The following is a 26,290-nucleotide window of genomic DNA, read 5'->3' as shown; positions in this document are numbered from 1 at the left end:
GTCCATCCCAGGTCAAAATGGTTGATAAAAATTGCCATTTATTTTTTTCATTTTTTCCCTTGGTTCACAGAGTACAACTGTTGAGGTATTATACAACAAAAGAACAAACTGATATCTTAGTTATTTTTCTGAACAACGGAGATCCTCTCTTCGACGGGGTGAAGGAGGGGAGAGTGAGAGTCGAGATGTCCCCAGGTCTTATCTCAGTTCGCTGTGGGAGGCGAAGGCACAGAATCATCCAAGGACACCAAGCACCTGAGGACAACCAGAACCTGTGGGTTCTGAAGGAGCAGCCTTCAAAGCTAGTGGCAGAGGGTAGCTCCCCTCCTGCCTGTGGCTTGTGCTGGCCTAGAGAGTATAGGGCAGAAGGATGGCAGATGAGTGACTCCACATCCAGAGCTGCCTCCCTTTAATCCAGGATCCTGTCCTTCCTGTCCTGTAGGAGTGCCTGTTGCCAGTGTGGGGTGAGACAAGTTTGTCCCACAGGGCTGTCTGAGCAGATAAGATTAAGGGCTGGGTCTGTGCTCAATTAACTCCTGTGGGCACGGGGGCTGGGAAGAGCAAAGTCAGCGGTGCCTACAGTCAGCACCATGCTGGGCCTGCCGTGGAAGGGAGGTCTGTCCTGGGCGCTGCTGCTGCTTCTCTTAGGCTCCCAGATCCTGCTGATCTATGCCTGGCATTTCCACGAGCAAAGGGACTGTGATGAACACAATGTCATGGCTCGTTACCTCCCTGCCACAGTGGAGTTTGCTGTCCACACATTCAACCAACAGAGCAAGGACTACTATGCCTACAGACTGGGGCACATCTTGAATTCCTGGAAGGAGCAGGTTGGTGACCACGTACCCTCCTGCCCTGGCATCTGGCATGTGCTGCTCAGTGAAAAATGGGAGTGGGGTGGGGACAGGGGGTCTTATTGAAGAGTCTTGTTCACCAGTTGTAGTCCATACTTAAGAAAATACAAGGTAGTTTAGTTAGTTTTTGATTTTGAAAACATCTAAGTTAGAAATTTCAAATAATTTGATCCTAATCAACTCTCATGAAAAACATATTGTTTAATCTCCATCTTTTTATGACATTATTTAACTGAAGAATGACTTCAAAATGAGGACTACCAAGAAAATGAAGATACGGAATAAGGAAAAGGGCTGAACAGAAAATGTGAATAGAGAGAAATTGAGAAATACTTCCAAAAAATGTAATAAAAAAGAGATAATTTAAAAAATGAAAATTAAAAAAGAGAACAGTAAGGGTTCAGGAGCAATAAGAAACCCCCACCAGTCCCAAAAGACCTCTGGGTGGTCAGTTCCTCTTTGCTGATTTCCAACTTCTCTGAGCTCCTTGGTGTGTCTGCACTTAATAAACTGAAGACTGTTTCACACTCTTCCTCAGACCACAGGTCTTAATCCTAAATGTTCTCCTTTTAATGAAGTCACTACAGAATGCAATCAGGAATGCACAGTTCATCTGTGCTGTAGGCATGAACAATGAAAATAGTCACCAAGTTGAGGACTTTTTTTTTTTTTTTTTTTTGAGATGGAATCTTGCTCTGTCACCCAGGCTAGAGTACAGTGGCGTCATCTCCGCTCACTGCAAGATCCGCCTCCCAGGTTCAAGTGATTCTCCTGCCTCAGCCTCCCAAATAACTGGGATTACAGGCACCCGCCAGATGCCTGGTTAATTTTTTGTATTTTTAGTAGAGACAGGGTTTCACTATGTTGGCCAGGCTGGTCTTGAACTCCTGACCTCATGATCTGCCCACCTCGGCCTCCCAAAGTGCTGGGATTACAGGCATGAGCCACTGCACCCAGCTAAGTTGAGGACTTCTAGTTGGGTAGAGAGGCAAAAATGCTCTTCCTACCTCATTACTGAAACCTTGCAAGAAGAGCAAAAGGACCCCAACCCTGCACCAAGCTTCAGCCTCTGGAAAGACCCTGTGCAAGGCCCTGGCTGGTTCTCTGACCCCTGCTCTCTGGGCTGGAGCCTGCCACGTGGGTTCCTGGATGTGACAATTCCAGAGTCAGTTTTGGAGTTGGGGAAATGGACGGATAGGGAGAAAGGAGATGGAATGAAGTGAAACTGAAAGGAGTGAGAAGATCAAGGTGCACTTTGCAATAGGGCAGATGGTGTTTCTTTCTTTCTTTCTTTCTTTTGATATGGAGTCTCACCCTGTCAACCAGGCTGGAGTGCAATGGCACAATCTCAGCTCCCTGCAACCTCTGCCTCCCGGGTTCAAACAATTCTCCTGCCTCAGCCTCCCTCCCGAGTAGCTGGGATTACAAGCACCTGCCACCATGCCCAGCTAACTTTTGTATTTTTAGTAGAGATGGGTTTTCACCATGTTGGCCAGGCTGGTCTCGAACTCCCGACCTCATTATTCACCCACCCCAGCCTCCAAAAGTGCTGGGATTACAGGTGTGAGCCACCACACCCGGCCCCAGATGGTGTTTCTTGAAGCCATTGTCCCAAGGATGTATGCCTGTGTGTAGTGGGAGTGCTGGGTGGCATTCTTGCATTTTTTTTTTCCTCAGGTCAGGTGGAAGGTTTGACAACATGCCCTAGATGAGGCTCCCTCTGTCCCAGGGCTGAGGTTACCCTGAAAGCTCTTGGAGAGCCAAACCCCTCCCCAGGCACATAGCGCCATCCTCTGGAAATGCAGCTGCAGGTTCAGACACTGACTGAGAGTGAAACTGGGGTCTCACCATGGGAGAGTGGGAAGTGCATCTGGAAATAGGGATACATTCATGGGTGTCTGCCCTGGGGCCACCATGCCCATCCGCTTTTTGTTCTTAACTGCCCAATCTAAAGAAGATCTCCTGATGCCAGGCCCATGGGCAAGCTCCCTAATGGAGGAGAATGTTGGGACTTCTCCTACACAAATGACATCTTCACCAGCAGCTACTTAGGGGCAACAAGGAGGGTGTGTTCACATTAATCTCTCTGTGTGCAATAGGTGGAGTCCAAGACTGTATTCTCAATGGAGCTACTGCTGGGGAGAACTAGGTGTGGGAAATTTGAAGACGACATTGACAACTGCCATTTCCAAGAAAGCACAGAGCTGAACAATGTAAGACAGGACACCAGCTTCCCTCCTGGATACAGCTGTGGATGCCACATGGGGTGTGGTGTGGGCACAGGTGCAACTGACAAAGAGACTTAGAGGAGTGAGCCTGCAGCAGCCTCTACCAGGCTGCCCTGCTTGTGCCTTAGTGGGGAGCGCAGAGGGGCAGGCAGCTAGGGGTCCACTTGCAGGCTCCTGGCCAATCTGAGTTTATCAACTCTGCCCTGTCATGCCACTGCAGCTGCCTGCACCCAGGGCACATGGCCTTCAGACTGCTCTTTCCCCCTGGGGTCCCAGTCTCCTGGGTCCAGTAAGAAGTGGTCCCCTCTCTGGTCTTCCTCCCCTGCCTTCTGGAAGAACCTGGGATCTGACATCACCTCTGTCTGTGGATGCAGTTCTCAGGGTTTCCTTACCCTCCCCTAGACCCAAAAGTGGTAGAGGCTGAGAAGGAGCCCCACTACCCTCCCTCCCAGGCCCTGAGCTGAGCTGCAGCACCTGCTCTAGGGGACAAGCTCCAAGTAAAGCCTGGCTCTGGGAAAACTCTTCCTATGCTTAATCAACACCCTTATTGTAATATTAAAAAATAGGTAGCTGATTGCTTAAATCTGGGAACTGCTTCCACTGGGACAATGCATTCTCCTGCTGCTCTTGGGTGCAGGGATCACACCAGGACAGCCCGGGGTTCCCCTGAGGGCCACTGCTAGGGAGTGGGGAACATTGCACAGGCGCCCCTGGGTCAGAAAAGAGTTGCAGTTCAGCTCAAATCTCCAGAACAGCCCAGGACTCAGGCTTGGGGGCAGCACATGATAGCCAGAGGCCCCGTCTTCCCACTGCTTGACCTGGGAAAGGGCAATGTGGAGAGGAAGCCATTGTTCAGAGCTTGAGCCATGAGCTTCCTGAGCCTCCCTCACCCACTGTCCCTTCCTGTGCTTGTTCTCTCAGACTTTCACCTGCTTCTTCACCATCAGCACCAGGCCCTGGATGACTCAGTTCAGCCTCCTGAACAAGACCTGCTTGGAGGGATTCCACTGAGTGAAACCCACTCACAGGCTTGTCCATGTGCTGCTCCCACATTCCGTGGACATCAGCACTACTCTCCTGAGGACTCTTCAGTGGCTGAGCAGCTTTGGACTTGTTTGTTATCCTATTTTGCATGTGTTTGAGATCTCAGATCAGTGTTTTAGAAAATCCACACATCTTGAGCCTAATCATGTAGTGTAGATCATTAAACATCAGCATTTTAAGAAACTTTGTGTGCTGTAGTTCTCGATAAAAGGGGCTGGGTGTTTGATGGAGTTATTCTCACCAGGGCAGACAAGTAGGATCTGGGTAGATGGACTCCTGAGCCAGCTCCAGGTGGCACAAGTGGTACATCTGAGCTGCTGTCTCAGGGATCACGGCCAATAACCCACGTGGCCAGAGGTGCAATGACTATCTCCTCTCAGGCACCTCATGTGCCTGGATAAGCTCAGACATGGTGTTGGGCTCCCCTGGTCTTGTGGCCTCTTCTCTTGAAGAGTGGCTCACATGCCTTTCCTGATCCTCAGCATGTTGGTGGGCAGAAGAAAGACTTCTAGGCTCACCCTCGTAAAATGGTCCTGATGTGTGAGGCAGCAGCATCTTTGGAAAATCTCTTAGAAATGTTGAACCTCAGGGCCTCCCCGCCTTTGGAAAATAAGTCTGCATTCTCGCAAATCCCCAGGGGTTCATGAACCTGGATAACAACATAAGAAACATGAAAGAACAGCATCAAGTAGGATGGAAGTTATATAAGATATGAAGGTATAGGATTTGTTTAAGAAACAAATCAAGACCAAGATACTTTCTCCCAGAGGAGAGGGATTTCCCAGTATGGGATGTGCAGATGCATGGGAGAGGTAGGAAGGGAGTGAGAGGGCTTCAGACTTAGCAGAGGATTAACTAACTGCTTAACTTCTGAACCAGCCTAGGTAGAATGAAAACCTTCAGGAATATAGGAATTAAATTGCCCACTTTTCAAGTTAAATTACATAGGACATTTTCACAATGTTTATTATAATAAAAATCCTTGGAGTGATGTCAATAAGGTGGCAGAATAGAAACTTTCCACATTCATCCCTTCTCAAATACCTCAATTTGAACCTAACTATACATAAAATATCCTCACAGGAGCTCATCAAACCAAGTGTCAGATTGCAACACTTGGGTAGCACAGAAATAAGACTAAAACATTGAAGAGTGCAGTAAGGAGAGTTTTATACAACCCACATCACCTTTCCTCTCACTCCAGGCTATACACTGTGGACAGAAACATCCCCTACTTGAAGGAAGGAGAGGGAGTATTGAACTTTGCCTCAGACCTCAACACTGCACCTACCACAGTAAAACCAGTGCCAGGCAGTCCCACAGGACCCCAGCCTTCAGGCTGGCACCATGGTCCAAGGCTACAGCCCCACCCCAACACAAAGACAGCTATTGTGGTCCCAGATTTCAGGCCAATCCCAGCACTAGGCTAGCTCCTACAGATACAGGCTCCAGGCTGGCTCCTCAGAGCCAGCCTTCAGGTCTAACCCAGCACCTGTCCAGTTTCTAAAACCCTTGAATTCAGGTCAGCACCAGAAGACTGAGCATACAAGCCTGCATATACTCAAGACCATCCCCTGTGATCCTGTGCTCCAGTAAACCCAAAGATCAGGCCTATCTCAAAAGTTTCCACTGCCAGTCCAGCCTCTGCAAACCCAGGTTCTAGGATTTCCCTTGCACACCCAGGTTCCAGGCCAGCCCACACAGTCCCAGGACCCAGGCCTGTACCCACACATTCAGCCTTCAGGATGACAACAGATCTGAACCAGGCCCTGTGTCCCAAGCTCCAAGCCAGTCCTCATGAATCTAGCCTCCAGGTCAGCATGCACACATCCAGCCTTCAGCCTGGCTTCTGTAGCCCTATGCACCAGACCAGACCTTGCAGACCCAGGTTATAAGACTCCCCTGCATTACACTGCCCCAGGACCCAGGCTGGTCCCCAGAGCACCAGGCTCCAGTGGACCCAAGATCCAGACATGTTTCAGTGTACCCTGGGTCCAGAACCACACCAGTAGACTCCTGCACAAGCTTTCCCTGTGGACCAAGGCTCAAGAACCACCCCTGTGGACTCAGTCTCCAGGACAGCTTCTGAAAACTGAGGACCCAGACCTATAGCCATGGACCCTGGCTCTTGGATTTCCCCAGGGCTAGGCTAGAATCTGTACACTCAGGCTCCAGTTCCATCACAGACACCACGCCCATCCCAGCACCTGGCTGGACACTGCAGACACAGACTCAGGACTTCCCCAGTGCCAAGTCAGCCAGGATTCAGGCTTGCCCAGTTAATTCAACTTCCTGCCCAACCACATGGAAAAAGGCTATAGAACCATCACTGCAGACCCAATCAACAGGTCAATCCTGGTGAACCCAGGCTGCAGGCCCAACCCTATAGAACCAAGCACCAGGTGAGCCTGCCCAAGAACTCCAGCAACAAGCTTACCATGGACCATACCAGATGCCTGCCCAGAATTCTGGACAGGATGATTGGTGAAGGGCTTTTCCTGTCAAAGTCAGTCTATATTGGAACAAGTGCCTACTTGAAATGCACAGTCACCTACACATGGCCATAAGGATTACAAACAATCAGGGAAACATGACACTACCATAAAAATAAAGCACCAGTAAGTTACCCTAAAAAAATGGAGATTTACAAATGTCTGACAAAAAATTCAAAGTAATTATATTTCAATGGTCAGTGAGCTACAAGAGAATATCAAAATATACATAAATAAAATCAGTAAAAGTGAACACAGACAAAATTATAAGATCAAAAAAGAGAGAAACCACAAAAAAGAATCACACAAATTCTGGAGCTAAAGACACAATGAACTAAACTGAAAAATTTATTCAAATAACTTCAACAGTAGACTTGATTAACCAGAAGAAAGGATCAGTGAGATTAAGACCAGGTCATTTGAAATTACCCTGTGAGAGAAACAAAACAAAACGCACAAAAAGAGTAAATAAATTCTACAGGAATTATAAAAAACTATCAAGCAAACCAATGAATGCAATACAGGTGTCCCAGAAGGAATACAGAAAAAGAAGAGGCAGGAAACATCTTTAAGTAAATAATGGCAGAAAATTTTTCAAATCTGGAGCTATAAATTAACATACAGATTCAGGAAGCCCAAATAACCCTAAATAGATTAAATATAATGTGACTTTTACCAATGCATTATAATACAATTTTCAACTGCCAAAGGCAAAGAGAATTTTGAAAGCAGCAAGAAAATATCAACTTGTCACATACAAGAGAATCTTTATAAGATTATCCTCTGATTTCTCAGCAGAGACCTGAAAAGCCAGGACAAATCTGAATGATACATTAAATAAACTGAAATAATTTTTTTAATTGCAAACCGATGATACTATACCCAACAAATCTGTCATTCAGAAATGAAGAACAAATAAGAATTTTCCCAGACAAATTAAACTGTGGCAGTTCATCACTACTAGACCTGCTTTAAAAGAAATGCTGGCCTGGCATGGTGGCTCACACCTGTAATCCCAGCATTTTGGGAGGGCGAGGTGGGAGGATCATGAGGTCAGGAGTTTGAGACCAGCCTGGCCAACATAGTACTGAAATACAAAAATTAACTTGGCGTGTTGGCAGGTGCCTGTAATCCCAGCTACTCTGGAGGCTGAGGCAGGAGAATTTCTTGAATGCAGGAGGCAGAGGTGGAGGTTGCAGTGAGCCGAGATCACACCACTGCACTACAGCCTGGGCAACAAGAGTAAGACTCTGTAAAAGAAAAAGAAAGAAAGAAGAAAGAAAGAAAGAAAGAAAGAAAGAAAGAAAGAAAGAAAGAAAGAAAGAAAGAAGGAAAGAAGGAAAGAAGGAAAGAAGGAAAGAAGGAAAGAAGGAAAGAAGGAAAGAAGGAAAGAAGGAAAGAAGGAAGGAAGGAAGGAAGGAAGGAAGGAAGGAAGGAAGGAAGGAAGGAAGGAAGGAAAGAAGGAAAGAAAGAAAGAAAGAAAGAAAGAAAGAAAGAAAGAAAGAAAGAGAAAGGAATGCTGAAGAACATTAGGGAATAAAAATCTCCCTAGTGAAACTAAGTACATACTGACATTCAGAATACTCTAATACTATAACGGTAATTTGCAAATCTCTTATATCTTCTGTATGAAGATTTTAGGACAAAACTCTTTGAAATAATAGTAGCCACAATGATTTGTTAAGGCAGTGGTCCCCAACTTTTTGGCACCAGGGACCTGTTTCATAGGAGACAATTTTTCCATGGACTGGGGGGTAGAGGGTACGGGATGGTTTTGGTAGGAATTTGTTCCACCCCAGCTCACCAGGCATTAGTTAGATTCTCATAAGGAGCATGTAACCTAGATCCCTCTCACGTGCAGTTCACACTCCTATGAGAATCTAATGCCACTGCTGACCTTACAGAAGGCAAAGCTCAGGTAGTAATGCTTGCTCAGCCACTGCTCACCTCCTGCTGTGTAGCCTGGTTCCTAAAAGGCCACGGACCAGTACCAGTCTCCAGTCCAGGGGTTGGGGAACCTTGTGTTATGGGATATACATATTAAAAGATGTAAACTGTGACATCAAAATGATAAAATGTTGGGAGAAGAGTGTAGAGTTTTTCAGTGTAATTGAAGTTAAGTTATTGTTGGTCCAGCATAGCCTGTTTTAACTATAACATATTTTGTGTAAGCCTCATGGTACCGAAAGCAAAAACCTATAGTAGATAAAGAAAATATTAGAAGTAAAAATTCAAGCCAGGCACGATGGCTCATGCCTGTAATCCCAGCACTTTGGGAGGCCAAGGCAGACAGATCACGAGGTCAGGAAATCGAGACCATCCTGGCTAACACGGTGAAACCCTGTCTCTACTAAAAATACAAAAAATTAGCCAGGCATGGTGGCGGGCACCTGTAGTCCCAGCTACTTGGGAGGCTGAGGCAGGAGAATGGCATGAACCCGGGAGGCAGAGCTTGCAGTGAGCTGAGATCACGCCACTGCATTCCAGCCTGGGCGACAGAGCGAGACTCTATCTCAAAAAAAAAAAAAAAAAAAGAAAAGAAATTCAAAGCGTACTACTACATAAAATCATCTAATCACAAAGGAAGAAAACAAGAGAGGAAGAATGATAAAAATCTACATAACAGCCAGAAAACAATTATCAAAAGGGCAGTAGTAAGTCCTTACATATCAATGGTTACCTTGAATATGAATAGATTATAATCTTTAATCAAAAGACATGGAATGGCTGAATGGATAAACAAATAAGATCCATGTCTATGCTGCTTACAAGAGATTCATTTTACCTTAAGTGTATGAATAGGTTGAAAGTAAAGGGATGAAAAAAGATATTCTATGCAAACAAATCAAAAGAGAGCAGAGATACCTATACCATATCAGATAAAATAAACTTTAAGTCAAAAATACTTAAATAAGACAAAGAAGATCCTTATAATAAAAGAACTGATTCATTAGGAGTATATAAGAATTATAAATGCAAATACACCAGACATCTATCTGAGCACCTAAACATATAATTCAAGAGTTAATAGATTTAAAGGGAGAAGTAGACTGCAAAACAATAAGAGTAGGGAACTTCTGTATTCTACTTCCCACTATGAGCAGATTATCCAGACAGACAACAATAAAGAAACATTATAATTTAACTATTCCCTGGACCAAATGACCTCACGGATATGTACAAAACATTCCAGCCACCAGAAGTGGAATATACGTTACTTTCAATTGCACAAACAACAATCTCCAGATACATTTTACAATAGGCAAAAAAATTTTCAAATTTAAGAAGAATGAAATCATATCAAGTGTCCTTTCTGACCACAATGGTATGAATCTACAAATCAATAATAGAAAGATTTTTTTTAAATTTACAAATAATGTGAAAATTTAAAGACGTGCTTCTGAATAATCAATGGGTAAATTAATAAATTAAAAGGAAAATTTGAAATTATCTTGAGACAAACAAAAATAAAAACACAACATACCAAAACTTATAGAATGCAGCAAAAAGTGGTTCTAAGAAGGAAATTTATAGCAACAAAAGTCTATATCAAATAAGAAAAAAAACTCAAATAAACATCCTAATATTGCACCTCAAGATGCCAGAAAAAGAAAAACCAGACACCACAAAAACACACCTAAGTACATAGGCCATTGACACTGTAAAGCAAATACACAATCAAGTCTGCATGATAAACAGCTAACAACATAATTGCAGGATCACATCCACACATATAAATATTAACCTTGAATGTCAACAGGCTAAATGCCCCAATTATAAAGGCACAGAGTAGCAAATTGGATAAAAAAGCAATACCCAATGGTATGCTGTCTTCTAGAGACCTATCTCACATGCAATAACACCAATAGGCTGAAAATAAAGGGTTGGAGAAAAATCTATCAAGCAAACAGAAATCAGAAGAAAGGAGGGGTTACTAGTCTAATTTCAGACAAAACAGACTTTAAAGCAGCAACATTCAAAAAAAAACAAAGAAGGGCATTACATCATGTTAAAAGATTAAATTCAACAAGAAGACCTAACTATCCTAAATATATATGCACCCAACACAGGAGCACCCAAATTCATAAGACAAGTTATTAGAGACATACAAAAAGACTTACATAACCACACAATGATAGTGGGAGACTTCAAAATCCATTTGACAGTATTATACAGATCATCAAGGCAGAAAACTAATAAAGATATTCAGGACCTGAACTCAACTGTCAACCAAATAGACCTAACAGATATCTGCAGAATTCTCCACCCCAAAAAACCAGAACATACATTTTTCTCATCTGCACATGGATATACTCTAAAATTGACCACAAAATTGCCATAAAACAATTCTCAACATATTGAAAAAACCAAAATCATACCAACCACACTCTCAAACCACAGTGCAATAAAAATAGAAATCAATACTAAGATCACTCAAAACCATACAATTAGATGAAAATTAACCAACCTGCTCCTGAATGACTTTTGGGTAAACAATGAAATTAAGGCAGAAGTCAAGAAATTCTTTGAAACTAGTGAGAACAAAGATACAACATACTAGAATCTCTGGGACACAGCTAAAGCAGTGTTAAGAGGAAAGTTTATAGCACTAAACATCCCAATCAAAAAGTTAGAAAGATGTCAAATTAACAAGCTAACATCACACCTAGAGGAACTAGAAAAACAAGAGCAAACCAATCCCAAAGCTAGCAGAAAACAAAAAATAACCAAAATCAGAGCTAAACTGAATGAAATTGAGATGTGAATTACACAATCAGAAATGACAAAGAGGACATTACCTACAACTCCACAGGAATACAAAAAGCCCTCCAAGACTACTACAAACACCTCTATGTACACAAACTAGAAAACCTAGAAGAAATGAATAAATTCCTGGAAACAGACAACCTCCCAATATCAAACCAGGAAGAAATTGAATCCCTGAACAGACCAATAACAAGTTCCAAACTTGAGTCAGTAAAGAAAGCCGACCAATGAGGAAAAGCCTGGGACCAAACAGATTCACAGCTGAATTCTACCAGATGTATAAAGAAGAGCTGGTACCATTTCCACCGAAACTATTCCAAAACATTGAAGAAGAGAGCCTCCTCCCTAACTCATTCTATGAGTCCAGCATCATTCTGATAACAAAACCTGGAAGAAACCCAACAAAAAAGGAAAACTTCAGGCCAATATCTTTGATGAACATAGATGCAAAAATCCCCAACAAAATACTAGTAAACCAAATCTGGCAGTACATCAAAAAGCTAGTCCATCACACTTAAGTAGGCTTTATCCCTGGGATGCAAGTTTGATTCAACATACACAAAGTGGTGGATGTAATTCATCACATAAACAGAACAAAAAATATATAAACCCAAATGATTATCTCAATATATGCAAAAGAGGCTTTCAATAGAACCCAACATCCATTCACGTTAAAAACTCTCAATAAAATAGGATTGAAGGAACATAGCTTAAGATAATAAAAGCAATATATGACAAACCCACAGCCAACATCATACCGAATGGGCAAAAGCTGGAAGCATTCCCCTTGAAAACCAGCATAAGACAAGGATTCCCTCTCTCTCACTCCTATTCAACATAGTGTGGGAAGTTCTGGCCAGAGCAATCAGGCAAGAGAAAGAAATAAAGGGCATCCAAATAGGAAGAGAGGAAGGCAAACCATCCCTGTTTGCAGATGACATGATTTTATATCTAGACAATCCCATAGTCCAAAAGCTCCTTCAGCTGATAAACAACTTTAGCAAAGTTTCAGGATACAAAATCAATGTACAAAAATCACTAGCATTTCTATACACCAACAAGAGCTAAGCCAGGAGCCAAATCAGGAACACAATCCCATTCACAATTGCCATAAAAAGAATAAAATACCTAGGAATACAGCTAGGATCTACATTGTAGATCTCTACAATGAGAACTACAAAACAATTCTCAAAGAAATGAGAGATGACCCAAACAAATGGAAAAATATTCCATGCTCATGAATAGGAAGAATCAATATTAATAAAATGGCCGAACTGCCCAAAGTAATTTACAGATTTAATGCTATTCCCGACAAACTACCAAAGACATAATTCTCAGCACTAGAAAAAACTATTTTAAAATTAATATGAAACCAAAACAGAGCCTGAATAGCCAAGGCAATTTTAAGCAAAAAGAACAAAGCTGGAGTCATCATGTTACCCAATGTTAAACTATGCTACAGGGCTACAGTAATCAAAACAGCATAGTACTAGTACAAGGACAGACACATAGACCATTGGAACAGAATAGAGAGCGCAGAAATAGGGTCACACAGGTGTGTGACCTCCAGTCATCTGATCTTCAACAAACCTGAAAAAAAACAAGTAATGGAAAAAGGACCCCCTATTCAATAAAAGGTGTTGGGATAACTAGTTAGCCATATGCGGAAGATTGAATCTGGACCCCTTCCTTACACCATATACAAAAATCAACTCAAGATGTATTAAAGACTTACATGTAAAACTCAAAACTATAAAAACCCTGAAAGACAATGTCGGCAATACCATTCTGGACATAGGAACTAGCAAAGATTTCATGATGAAGACACAAAAGCATAGGCAACAAAAGCAAAAATTGACAAATCGGATCTAATTAAACTGAAGGGCTTCTGCCCCACAAAAGAAACTATCAACAGAGTAAACACACAGCCTACAGAATGGGAGAAAATTTTTGCAAACTATGCATTGGACAAAGGTCTAATAGCCAAAATCTATAAGGAACTTAAACAAATTTACAAGAAAAAAATGCATAACCCCATTAAAAAGTGGGCAAAGGCCATGAAGAGACACTTATCTAAAGAAGACATACATGTGGCCAACAAGCATATGAAAAAATGCTCAGCATCTCTAATCATTAGAGAAATGCAAATCAAAACCACAATGAGATACCATCTCACACCAGTCAGAATGGCTATTACCAAAAAGTAAAAAAAAAACAAAACAGATCCTGGCAAGGTTGTAGAGAAAAGAGAGCACTTATACACTGCCGGTAGGGATGTAAATTAGTTCAGCCATTGTGGAAAGCAATTTGGTGAATTCTCAAAGAACTCAAAGCAGAATTACCATTCAACCCAGAAACCTTATTATTGGGTATACAGACAAAGGAATATAAACCATAAAGATATATGCACGTGTATGTTCATCACAACACTATTTACAATAGCAAAGACAGGGAATCAACCTAAATGTCCATGAACAGTAGACTGGATAAAGACAATATGGTACATATAAAGTAAATAATACTACCCAGCCATAAAAAAGAATAAGATCATGTCCTTTGTAGCAACATGGATGGAGCTGGAGGCCATTATCCTAAGCAAACTAACACAGACACAGAAAACCAAATACTACATGTTCTCCCCTATAAGTGAGAACTGAGTACACATCAACACAAAGAAAGGAATAAGGGCCTAGTTGAGGGTGGAGGGTGGAAGGCCAGGGAAGAGTGAGGATAAAAAAAATACCTATCAGGTACTGTGCTTATTACTTTCGTGATGAAACAGTCTGTACACCAAACCCCTTAACAGGCAAATTAGCTATAAAACAAACCTGTCCATGTACCCCTGAACCTAAAATAAAAGTTAAAAAAGAAAACAAAATGAGATACTATCTCACACTGGTCAGATTGGCTATGATTAATATTTAAAAGTCAACAAATAACAGATGTTGGTGAAGCTGCAGAGAAAGGGAACACTTACACACTGTTGGTGGAAATGTAAATTAGTTCAGCCACTGTGGAGAGCAACTGGAGATTTCTCAAAGAACTAAAAATAGAATGACCATTCCACCCAGCAATCCCATTACTGGATATACACCCAAAGGAAAATAAATCATTCTACCAAGAAGACACATACACTCTCTGTTCATTGCAGCACTATTTACCATAGCAAAGACATGGAATAAACCAAATTGCCCATCAGCAGTGTATTTGGTAAAGAAAACGTGGTACATACACACCATGGAATACTACACAGCCATAAAAAAAGAACAAAATTATATCCCTTGCAGGAACATGGATGAAGCTAGTGGCCATTATGCTAAGTGAATTAATACAGAAACAGAAAACCACATACAGTATATTCTCACTTATAGGTGGGAGCTAAAGATAAATACTAGAAACTAGTAGGGTGGGGAGGGAGGGGGGTGAGGGTTAAAAAAATTAACTATTGGGTACTATGCTCACTACCTGGGTGATAGGATCAATCATACCTCAAACCTCATCATCACACAATATACCCATGTAACAAACCTGTACATGTACCCTCCTGAATCTAAAATAGAATGTTAAATTACAAAAAAAAAAGGAGGGGGGCAATGTGTATTAGTAACCACTCATCTTTTTTTTTTTTTTTTTTTTTTGAGACAGGGTCTCACTCTTTTGCCCAGGCTGGAGTGCACTGGTGTGATCATGGCTCACTGCAGCCTCCATCTCCATCTCTTGGGGTCTAGCGATCCTCCTGCCTGAGCCTCCCAAATAGCTGGTACTACAGGTACACACCAGCATGCGCAGTTAATTTTTGTCTATTTTGTAGCAATGGGTTTTTTTTAATGTTGTCCATGCTGGTCTTGAGCTCCTGAGCTCAAGCTACCCTCCCCCGTGGGCCTCCCAAAGTGCTGGAATTATAGGTGTGAGCCACTGCACCCAGCCACCACTCATCTTCCAAACAACTTTGTGGGGGTCATTTTCATAACCAGCTCAGACCCTAGGCCAGTAGATGGTGGCACATCTCTGGGCTGTGAGGCTGCCCTCAGGGAGGTACAGACTGCTTGGCTGGGGGCTCCTGCCTCCAGATTCCCTCAAGCCACCCATCCTGGCACCATCCTCCACAGAACTTGTTCTGTTCTAGAACTCCATGGGAGCTGGAGAGCACCATGGGATGGGGCTGCCCTGCTAATGCCAGCCCTCTCCCCTGTCAATGTTCAGCACAGAGACAGCACAGAGGCCCACGATGAAGACTCAAAGCTCCTGCCATCAAGGAATCAGGTTTCTTGTGAAGAAAGAGCCTGGCGACCCATGAGAGCCAGGCAGTGGGAGAGACCTTCAGGGGATGTTGGAGTGAGAGCTTACACATTAGGGAGCAGCCAATTACATCATCCTCAGTAAGTACAGTGCACCCAAACCCCACCAGCTATGCCTTAAGTGTTGTTTTGCCAATATCCCTGTAATACAATTAACACTTTAATTTCATAATTAACAGATCATTCCTTTAAAAATTATATTCTATGCACAGCAACGTAAATATATTTAAACAATAGTGAACTGTACACTTAAAATTGTTAAGATTGTAAATGTTATGTTTATTTTGCTACAATTTAAACATACTTTATATTAGGTAAAGAAATTTACAGGCAACTACTGAAGTAGACTAGTTAACTGTATCTGTCAATTCTGCTGTATCCTTTATAACATGTAGGCTTCTGTAAGCCAGCTTCCAGGAGACATATTAAACCCTCCCAACATGGTTGTGGAAGTGCCATATTCCCTGCAACATTGTCATTTGTTCTGTTGTATTTGCATGCAGATTCATCACTATTATGGCTTCTTGATGGATTTTTTTCTTTATGATCATATAACCTGCATTTACATTGCTGTGCATGCTCTCAGCCCAAGGTCAAATCATGTACCAAGTCACTACTGCAATAAGAAGATTCTTTTCCTTGCTCTTTGACTAGTGATGTATGTGAAAGAATTGGACAAAGGCCTGTAAATGTAAACTACAGATTCCTGTACTTGGCCACGATACTCTTGTTGGGGAGCGGGGGTGAGTTTATTCACCTGTTCCCACAATGGAGAGAAATCTGACTTGAACAAATGATGATTCTGTGACTCAGAAAGAAAAATAGACTCTATATGAAGATCAAGGAGATGCACAGTACATGGCGCAGATGGGTAGGGTGCTCCAGGTGGGTGAGGAGAGTGCGAGGGAGGACCCAGGTGGGGCTCTGGAGAGAGCACGGGAAGGAAGCCAGACTGTGCCTGTCTCCAGGGCCCCTGCACGCCCTCCCTCTGAGCCCCTTTCTGCAGGAATTTCCTGTGCCTTGGCCTCCTTCATCTGTGCTCCCCTCTGGAGAGATATGCAGGTGCATTTAGTCATCACAGTGGTGAGAATACCTCCCAGAGTCTGCACTTTGTTGTCAGCCTCAGTGGCAGTGCTGAGCCCTGCCTTCATTCCTTCCCCAGGCTGTGGTCCAGGCCTGAACACTGGGGAGAAATGTCAAATGTGCAAGGTCCCCATGTACCCTCAGCAGAGATAAGGAAAGGAATTGCCAGTGCAGAACAATTGCCAATCTAAGCATACAGCTTTGTGATTATCACAGCACTTTGACTCCATGAGGGCAATTTGTCCAGTAAGCAACAAGCCTCTGGAGGCTGGATGGACAATGCTATGCCCATCTGAGGAGTGGACAAGGGAGGCCCAGAAAGCTCAGGGAAGGGTGAAGGTGCAGAATCAGCTCCTGGCACAGCTGGACTGGGTCTCAGGTCTCCAAGGCTAGGACCACCCTTCCACCCCTACCCCCAACTCTCTGCATCTCCAGGAGAACTCAGGTGAATTCATTAAGTTCTGCCAGCTGCTGGAAGGGACAACAAGGATCTCAGGGGGTGGAACCATGAAATGGCATTTGTCACTCATGACTTAGGGCTGAGAGGGTCAGCCAGAGGGTGAGGACTGTGCTGGAGGAAACTCTGCTGAGACCCACTCCTGTGAGTACCATCCACAGACTCAGAGTCCCACCTGGATGCTCCCTCCATTCTGCAGGCCTGGGAAGGAAGGGTATGCACCAGCTCATGGGAGTAGCCTCACCTTGGGCACATTGTCCTTCATGGCCACCACATCCAAGGTCAGAGCTCAGCACAGGCCACATCTATGTCCAGCTATGCTCAGGAGAAAGTGACCTGGTGCTGAATGCATGGCATTGTTTCTGTCCCAAGCCCCCTCCTCTATCCCTGACTTCCAGCAGTGTGGGGTTCCTAGGACCATCCCCCAACTTAGCCAAACTTGTATCTCCAGTGGCTGAATCCAGCTGCAAGTACCTGTACTAATCTTTCTCACATTCTTAGTCGGGAGGGTGCTGTGCCAGTGCAGCAGGTCCTAAGCTTTAAAGCAGCCATGAAGGATGCCCAAGAGCAGTCTTCACCCTCAGCCCCAGGGCCCCAGAGCATCAGGTTGCTGATACTTAGGCAGGTGCTGTGGAGCCTTCCTATGAGTCCCCATGCAGCCATGCCTTCTGTTCACTCACAGCACTTTTACTCCTGGCAGCTCCTCCTTTTAGTCCTTGACCCATCTGGTTTTGTTTCCCCACCCCACTGGCATGTCCAGGGATCACCTTCCACTCACACCTCTTGTACTTCTATTCTTATTTCAGGGACTGACCCTGGGACACCCGAGGAAGTGGGTGCTCTCCTCTAGCCCACTGAGGCACTAGGGAGCAGTGGTGGCTGGACCTCATGCCCTGCTCTTGCCCACTGGGGTCCCTTATCTTTCTAACCCACCCCCATGGTTGCTGTTACTTCTCCCTGAACAAGAGATGATTGAAACAGCTTTGTCTGGAGGAGGCGAAGCCACATTTGGGAGGGACAGATTATAATGCCAGAGATGAGGCCTGGAGGGAGGAGTTTCCACCTGAGCTCAAGAGTTTAAGGGCCAGAACTGTGTGCAGTAGGCTCCTGTGGGAGTCCAGGCTGGGAAGGCTGGAGGTTAGGAGTGCTTCCTGTGCCCTGCGCCATGTGGAGTCTGCCGCCGAGCAGGGCTCTGTCCTGTGCGCCACTGCTGCTTCTCTTCAGCTTCCAGTTCCTGGTTACCTATGCTTGGCGTTTCCAAGAGGAAGAGGAGTGGAATGACCAAAAACAAATTGCTGTTTATCTCCCTCCCACCCTGGAGTTTGCCGTGTACACATTCAACAAGCAGAGCAAGGACTGGTATGCCTACAAGCTGGTGCCTGTCCTGGCTTCCTGGAAGGAGCAGGTTGATGAGCACATCCTTTTCTGCACTAGTGTCCAGCACAGGCTGCTGAGTGATGGGCAGGGGTGGCAGCGTGTGGGGCAGGGCTTAACCAGGACTCCTGGTTCACCATTTGTAGTCTAAACTTGTATAAAATACAACCTCAGAAATTTGCTTTTTGTCTTTATGAAAGATACACATTATAATTTTTTTGAGTCCAGATCTACTCAACGCTAGATATAGTATTCAACCTCCATGATTGTTATGGCATCACTTAACTGAAGAATGACCTCAAAATAAGGAAAACTGAGAAAATGATGCATCAGGTGAGGAAATGGGTCACACAAAAAAACGTCCACAGACAGAAACTGAGAAACATTTCAAAGAAATTAAAAAAGAGATAATTAGGAAAAGAGACAATCAGAGTAAAAGAAAGGGAAGAGAGAGACAGAGACAAATAGACAGAAAGAGACAGAGAGACAGAGAGACAAAGAGAGCTGATAATTCAGAAGTAAAAAAGAAGCACCATCGGCCCTGAGAGGCCGCTGTGAAGTCAGTTCTTCTCTGATTTCCACCTGCTCTGGGCTCCTCCCTGCATCTACACTTAATGAGTTGAATGTTGTGTTACACTCTTCCACAGTCCATGGTCCTTAATCCTAAAATGTTCTCCTTTTAATGGAATCATTAAATGATTCAGGAATGTGCCATTCATCTGGGCTGCAGGCACAAACAATTAAAATGCCCTCCTAGTGGAGAACGTATGGTTTAGAGGGAGAAGGAGCATTGCTCTTCCTCTGTCGGCACCAAGAACCTGAAAGAAGGGTAGAGGGACCCCAGTGCCGCACAGAGCTTAAGCTCTGGAAAGACTCTGTGCAAGGTCCTGGCTGGATGGGGAGGGAGTCTATGGAGTGGAATGACATAGAATGGAGTGGGAAGGAGAGCAAGGAGAACCTCAGAGTGCACTTTGCAATAGGGCAGACGGTGTTTCTTAAAGCCGTTGTCCCAAGGGTGTGTCCCTGTGTGTAGTGGGAGCACTGGGTAGCATTCTTGCATTCCTCTTGCTGGAGGTCAGGTGGAAGGTTGGACAACACACTCTAGATGAGGCTCCCCTTGCCCCAGGGCTGAGGTTACCCTGAAAACTGATGGAGAGCTAACACCTTCCCGAGCATGCAGCACATGTCTTCTGAAAATGCAGCTGCAGGCTCACATGCCTGCTGAGTGAAGCCGGGTCTCATCATGGGAGACAGGGAGGTGAAGCTGGAGATACAGGATGCATTAATAGGGTTTGACAGCCTGTGTCTGTCCCAGGACACACCACACATATTTGCTGTTTGCTCTTAACTCCTCAGTCTAGAGAAGGTCTCCTGGGTTTTACCTCCAGTGACCTGATGCCAGGCCCATGCGCGAGCTCCCTAGTGGAGGAGAGTGTTGCAGCCTCTTCCTACAAGGTCGCATTTTCACAAGGAGTTACCTATGAGCAACTCAAAGAGTCTGTCCACTTTAATCTTTTTTATTCAACAGGGTTATGATAAGATGACATTCTCCATGAATCTGCAACTGGGCAGAACCATGTGTGGGAAATTTGAAGATGACATTGACAACTGCCCTTTTCAAGAGAGCCCAGAGCTGAACAATGTAAGACAAGACACCAGCTTCCCTCCTGGATACAGCTGTGGATGCCGCATGGGGTGTGGTGCGGACACAGGTACAGCTGACAAAGAGACTTAGAGGAGTGAGCCTGCAGCAGCCTCTACCAGGCTACCTTGCTTGTGCCTTAGTGGCGAGCACAGAGGGGCAGGCAGCCAGGGGTCCACTTGCAGTCTCCTGGCCAGTTTGAGTTTCCTGACTCTGCCATGTCACGCCACTACAGCTGCTTGTACCCAGGGCACATGGCCTTCAGACTGCTCTTGCCCCCTAGGGTCCTAGTCTCCTAGGCCTGAGTAGAGACTCTTTCCTCTCTGGTCTTCCTCCCCAGCCTTCCTCTGCCTTTTGAAGAAAGAGCCTGGTGGGGATCCGACATCACCTCTCTCTGAGTGTGCAGTTCTCAGGGTCCCCCTCCCCTAATCCAGAGCCTGAGGCAGGTGGAGGCTGAGGAGGGACCCCACTGCCCTCCCTCCCTGGTCCTGTCCTGGCTCCTGCTGAGCTGCAGTACCTGCTCTGGGGACAAGGACATAATGAACCCTGACACTGTGCACAACACATCTAGCATTACTCCATCCCCTTATCAGAGGATTAGTTAATAGGTTAAGTACTTGTTTAAATCTGAGAGCAGCTCCCTCTGGAATGGAGTGTGCCATGCTGTTCTTGGAGGATGAAAGACACTAGACAGCCTGGGTTTCCCCTGGAGGCTGCTGGCTAGGGAGGAGGGTGCTACTACAGGTGTTCCTTGGTCAGGAGGGAGCCACAGATCACCCTGAAAGTCTGGAACAGCCCAGAACTCAGGCTGGAGGGCCACACTTGGGGTCCAGAGCCCAGCCCTGGGAATGGGCAAGATTGAGATGGAACCTGTGTTGATAGCAGAAGCCACAAGCTTCTGCATCCCAAGCCCCCACACACTGTCCCTTCCTGTGCTTGCTCCCTCAGACCTGCACCTGCTTCTTCACCATTGGAATAGAGCCCTGGAGGACACGGTTTGACCTCTGGAACAAGACGTGCTCAGGCGGGCATTCCTGAGTGGGTCCTAGCCACGGGCCTGGCCACCTGCTGTCCTCTCCTTTCCAGCATGTCGGCAGTTCCTCAACATGGCCCTTCAGTGCCTGAGCAGCTCTGTGCTTGTGTGTTCTTACTTTCCATGTGTTAGGAGTTCATGCTCAGGTATTTTAGAAATTCTTCATTGTCTAAGTTCATCATGTAGTATACATCTTAACAATTAGCATTTTAAGAAGCTTTGTGTGCCATGATTCTGGACGAAGGGGCTTGGGCAGTTGATGGAGTTATTCTCAGCAGGGCAGCCTCCTGGCCTCTCAGGGGTAAGTTTTTCTCCCTTATTGGGCCTCCTGAGCCACTTCCAGAGGCACAGCTAAGGTGCGTCTGAGCTGCTATCTCAGGGCCCCTTGCAGGTTGCAGAGGGGCAGTGAGGGTGGCCTCCCAGGGTATCAGATGTGCACACGGAGCAGGACAGGGACTCGGGATCCCACATAACAAATGTGACATTGGCATTAATGCTCAGGGTGCATGTATACCTAGTGTGTTAGCTGAGAATAGCCAGCAGCTATGGACACCCTGTCCACATCTCCCAGATCAGGCTTCAGCATGTATTTTCTGTAAAGATTTAAGGAGTAACTATTTTGATCTTGTAGGCCATTTAGTCACTTTCTCAGCTACCCAGCACAGCCTTTGTAAGTTGAAAGCAGCCATAGTCAATGCATAAACAAATAAGAGCAGTCCTGTCCCAACAAGACTTTGTTTACACATGGAGACAACCAGACTGGGCTGCATTTGGTCCTCGGGCCATGGTTGCCAACTCCTAAGGTCAAGTCTGAGAGCCACGCTCCATCTTCAGAAGTGAGGCAGGTGAATGTCCCAGTCTCCCAGCCTCCTGGCACCCGATTCAGAGTGTGTGTCACATGGTTCTCAGAGCTCCCCAGCAGAATAAACACCCCCGGCCCCAGTGTAACCCATCGATAACAGACACATTGTGTTTCCCCTTCTCTGTCTCCCTTTCTCACATGTGCCTCCTGGGATCATCTCCAAATAAACTACCTGCACCCACCAGTCTGCGTTTCAGGGTCAGCCTGGGGGGACCTAACACAGACCTGTGGTGCGTTTGGACCATCGTCTTGGGACGTACCCTCCATAGAAGTGCTGGGAGGGTGGTCCCTAGATCATGGGCATTCAGGCAAGGCAGAGTGGGGAGCCAGGCCCGGAGACCTCCCTGCGGCCTGCCAGCACTGAGGTAGACACAGCTGCTGCACTTTGTCCCATCTGGTGCGTGGGTCTCTGGAACCCACACAGCCCTGCACTGCCTTGTTCCAGACTTGAACAGATTTTCCTTTGAGACCCTCCCACCACCTCCCCTGTCTGCTCCCACCCTTGGTCCTTCTCTTGACCCTGACTCCATCAGCAGAAGGAAGCTCAGAGAAGGCGCTTTATCCACAGTGCCTCCTGCGGATCCAAAGAATCCACCCTACTCATTCCATTTGAGAACCATTTCTGAGACAGCTCCCAGGACAGGGTCTCATGGGGAGTGAGCTCACTGAGGTGATGGGGTGTCCTGGCTCAGGACCCTTTTGGAGCACAGCCGTCCTTCATGGAGCAAGGGGAGAGGAGCCCACTCTAAGGCACTGGCTCCTGGGAGGATGCACTAATTCCTGCCTGACTCAGACTACATGTATGGGTCTTTAACAGTTTTCTGCATCCCTAAGAAATGGACATCCACAATTTCTGGGACATGTGTTGATTTCTATTGTATTTCCAGACTCATGATGCATGACATGACCCAGGTGCACAGGCCTAATTAGAGGACAGGAGTCGCATTGCAGGCCCTGTTCCTTTGGAAAGACCTCTCCTAGCTTGCCTTGCCTGTCTGCACTTGCTCCTGGAGACAGCTATACTTCTCCTCCTTCGGGAATTTGTGCAGTGAAGAATCAGGAAACTGGGTTCATAGATGTTGAGTGTAGCCATGAGGTGGGCCCCTGAGCAAATTTTGTGCCAGAGGCTAAGGCCAGAGACATGCTGGGAACATCTGGTCAGTAGCATCCCTGGACCCCAACCCCAGGAAGGAAAAGGGGCACAGATTGTAGTGTAGTGTCACTAGCTTCCTCCTTCCCCAGAAATGTGAGTTCTTATTTAACCCTGCACCCCTCAGCTCCTAATCTGTCATCTGCTGTCCCTGAGTCATTTATATAAAGATGGCAACCTCTGCTTGGCTGTCCTCAAATGGTTACAGCTGAAGTCAAAAGTGGCAGTAGAAGAAAACACTAAGTATAAATTAGTTCCAAAATATGCTACATATACACTACTTTATTCTACCTTGTGGCCACTTTCCCATCTGCTGGAGGACATGTGGATACTTTCCTCATTTTTCTCAGGGGGTCAGGGCTGGGACACAGCCTTGGGGAGATTGACCATAATAATGAACACAAAGTGATGAGGAAAATGTGAGGTTTTTGCAGACTCCCCAAACCTCTCTCCTTGAGGCAGAGGAAGGGAAGATGGGGTGGAGCCTGGGGAGGGCAGGGAACTGCCGGGATACATACACAAGGAAACATCTCAGCTGTCAGTCCTGGCCCTGTATGTGGTCTCAGGACAACTCCCACTCACTCCAAATCTCCACTTCAGGTCCCAAGACCCAGAGTCCCTCATGTCCACATACCTCCTGTGAGTTGGAGTTCTGGTTCTTCCCTGGCCCCTGCTGAGCCCAGGAAAGGAACTGTCCTCTTCTGTTTGTGCTGCTATAACAGAATAACACAGGCTGGTTAATTTACAGGAAACAGAAATTTATTTTTCACAGCTCTAGAGGTTGGGAAGCCCAGGACCAAGGTGCCAGCATCTTGTGAGGGCCTCCCTGCTGTGTCCTCACGTGGTAGAAGGTGGAAGGGCAAGCTACACTGCATGAAGCCTCTTTGATATATGTCTGTGTCCTTCCTGGTGTGGCCAAGGCTAACACGGCCTTGGTAGAGAAGGAGACAATTTAGAGGTGTCTCAGGAGCCTCTATGTCCACACATTCCATTTCCTTTCATGCTCATATAAAAATATTGCTGTTAGTCAATAAACTCAAAAATTCCATGAGTCAGTGAAACTGTCTTGATCTTAATTCTTCATCCTGACTCTGACTCAGTGGGTCAACAGAGGCCAGATGGTTTTGAAGAGCTAAACCTGAACCCATGCACAGATCACATTAACAAAACTGACCTTAGATGTGGGCAGTAGGGTTTGGTATGCCCTAAGACAACATGGGGTATGAGTATGATGGAAACAAGCAGCCCGGGACATGTGAAGACCCAGGTCCCTCCAATGTTCAATCACACTGTCAGGGCTCAGCAAAGAACACCTTCCTCCATGGGCTGCTCATGAGACCACATAGGGCTGGCCAGCTCAGGCCAAGAAGCAAGGGAGACCAAGTCCCCCAGATGGACAGGTTGCATACCCACGGAGCTTGGGGATGAAGGCGAGGGTAGATGAGAGAGATGTGTCCTCAGGTGCTGCAGCTAGTAGCATAGGGATCCCATTCCTGAGGCAGGGAGAGAATGGAACAAGAACTGCTCTGACAGTGTCCCCACAACCCTGCCAGCACATGGGAAAGAAAGGGGCCCAGGGTTGTGCGGGGCCATGAAGAACGCCACTTCACCTGCCCGCCACCCAAGAGCTCAACTGCTGGCAGATGTTAGAGAGTGCAGGTTGAGGACTGACCTCTTACCTTTTTTTCTTTATTTCTGAAATTCCTGTTTAAGGACCTGAGGAATCATGCCTTGCAAACCATAAAATTTCATCAAAAAGGTCCTTTCTGACCCAGTACATTGTGACTTGTTTTCCAACCTGACTCTGGCATGGCATCACCTGACAGATAGTAGAGCCCCTTAGCATTCCTTTCTACTGACTCCATGTTTTAGACAAAGCTTAACTTTTTCTACCAATTTCAAACTAAAGAATCCCTAAACCCACCTAAAACTTGTAAGCCAATGCCTTGAGATGTCCCACCTTTTGGGACCAAACCAATATATACCTTCCATGTATTGATTTATAATTTTACCTGCAACTCCTGGCTCCATGACATGCTTCAAACTAACCTGTAACCGGACCACCTCAGCCACACTTTCTCAGGACCTCTTGAGACTGTGTTTCCCTTTCTTGGTCACTCATATGGCTCAGAATAAACCTCTTTAAATATTTTGGCAGAATTTGGTTTTTCCGTTGTCAAGGTAAAGGGTATCCTGATTTCTGATCTCAGCCAGGCAAGCCCCTGGGGGTCTCAGGGTGCCATTTACAGTAGATCTGGGTTCCACTATCAAGTTGGCTCCTCCAGAAGCTGACTTGGAGACAAAAAATTCAAGTACAAGTGGCTTATTTAGAAATGATTCCAGAAAGGCAGTTGAAAAGTGGAAATAGTAAGGGGCAGAAGCAGCACGGATAGTGAGATTAGCAATATGGATAGCTAGGGCTCAGTCTTGCAGGACACTCCTCAGTGACTGGGTAGACACAACTTGGCGTTATATCCCAGGGGATAAAAGGCCAGGATGTTTATCCTCCAAATTCTATCATTGGCTGAGGGCTCCTCTCAAGGGTATTACCCACTGGCACTCCAGCCTGCCCTTCATTGGCAGAGAAAGCCATTAGGCAGAGAGGCTCAGAAGGTTGCAGTCAGCCCTGTCGGAGAAGAGCCCTCAAGGACAGCTGTCATGCAGGTGGCCTCTGAGCATCACCATCCTTCCGTCATGTGTCTAAGTTAGAATCTGACCCTGTATTACTACTGGTTATTACACAATATTGTCTCCTTGCCCCAGCCTGCACATTGGTGCTGCTGTCTAAGCATCAGGATTTCAAAAGTGCCTCTTTACGGTCATGGTATCACCTTAGTCCACTCTCCATACACATGCATGCGCACACATGCACACATGTGTACACACTGTAGTGGCTGGCCTCCCAGATGGCCTCCAGTGACCCTAATCTCTATCTTTATGTCGTTGTGTAGTCCACACTGAGCCAGGGCTGTTCTGGGTTGAGTCTAGTTTACAAAGGATACAGTG

At 45.5% G+C, this 26,290-nt stretch overlaps 1 protein-coding gene and 1 pseudogene across 1 annotated transcript; both read left to right on the top strand.

Moving 5' to 3' along the window:
* The first annotated feature begins 556 nt into the window (after nt 1–556).
* On the top strand, nt 557–4,309 carry CST9L (cystatin 9 like). Its single transcript, NM_080610.3, has 3 exons — nt 557–830; nt 2,954–3,067; nt 4,004–4,309. The coding sequence occupies exons 1-3, from the start codon at nt 591–593 to the stop codon at nt 4,091–4,093; spliced, it is 444 nt and encodes a 147-aa protein (NP_542177.1). The 5' UTR covers nt 557–590; the 3' UTR covers nt 4,094–4,309.
* CST9LP1 (cystatin 9-like pseudogene 1) lies at nt 20,134–20,505 on the top strand (annotated as a pseudogene).

The sequence above is a fragment of the Homo sapiens genome, chromosome 20 (genome assembly GCF_000001405.40).
Source record: "Homo sapiens chromosome 20, GRCh38.p14 Primary Assembly".
In the NCBI taxonomy this organism is placed as follows: domain Eukaryota; kingdom Metazoa; phylum Chordata; class Mammalia; order Primates; family Hominidae; genus Homo; species Homo sapiens.
Note: the sequence above shows the minus strand (reverse complement) of the source record. Positions and strands in the feature narration are given on the sequence as shown.

Excerpts from the sequence above, each read along its gene's own strand:
- CST9L (NM_080610.3), top strand. The coding sequence starts at position 591 with ATGCTGGGCCTGCCGTGGAAGGGAGGTCTGTCCTGGGCGCTGCTGCTG. Across the intron at positions 831-2,953 it reads TGAATTCCTGGAAGGAGCAG|GTGGAGTCCAAGACTGTATT; the intron begins GTTGGTGACCAC and ends TGTGTGCAATAG. Across the intron at positions 3,068-4,003 it reads AAAGCACAGAGCTGAACAAT|ACTTTCACCTGCTTCTTCAC; the intron begins GTAAGACAGGAC and ends TTGTTCTCTCAG.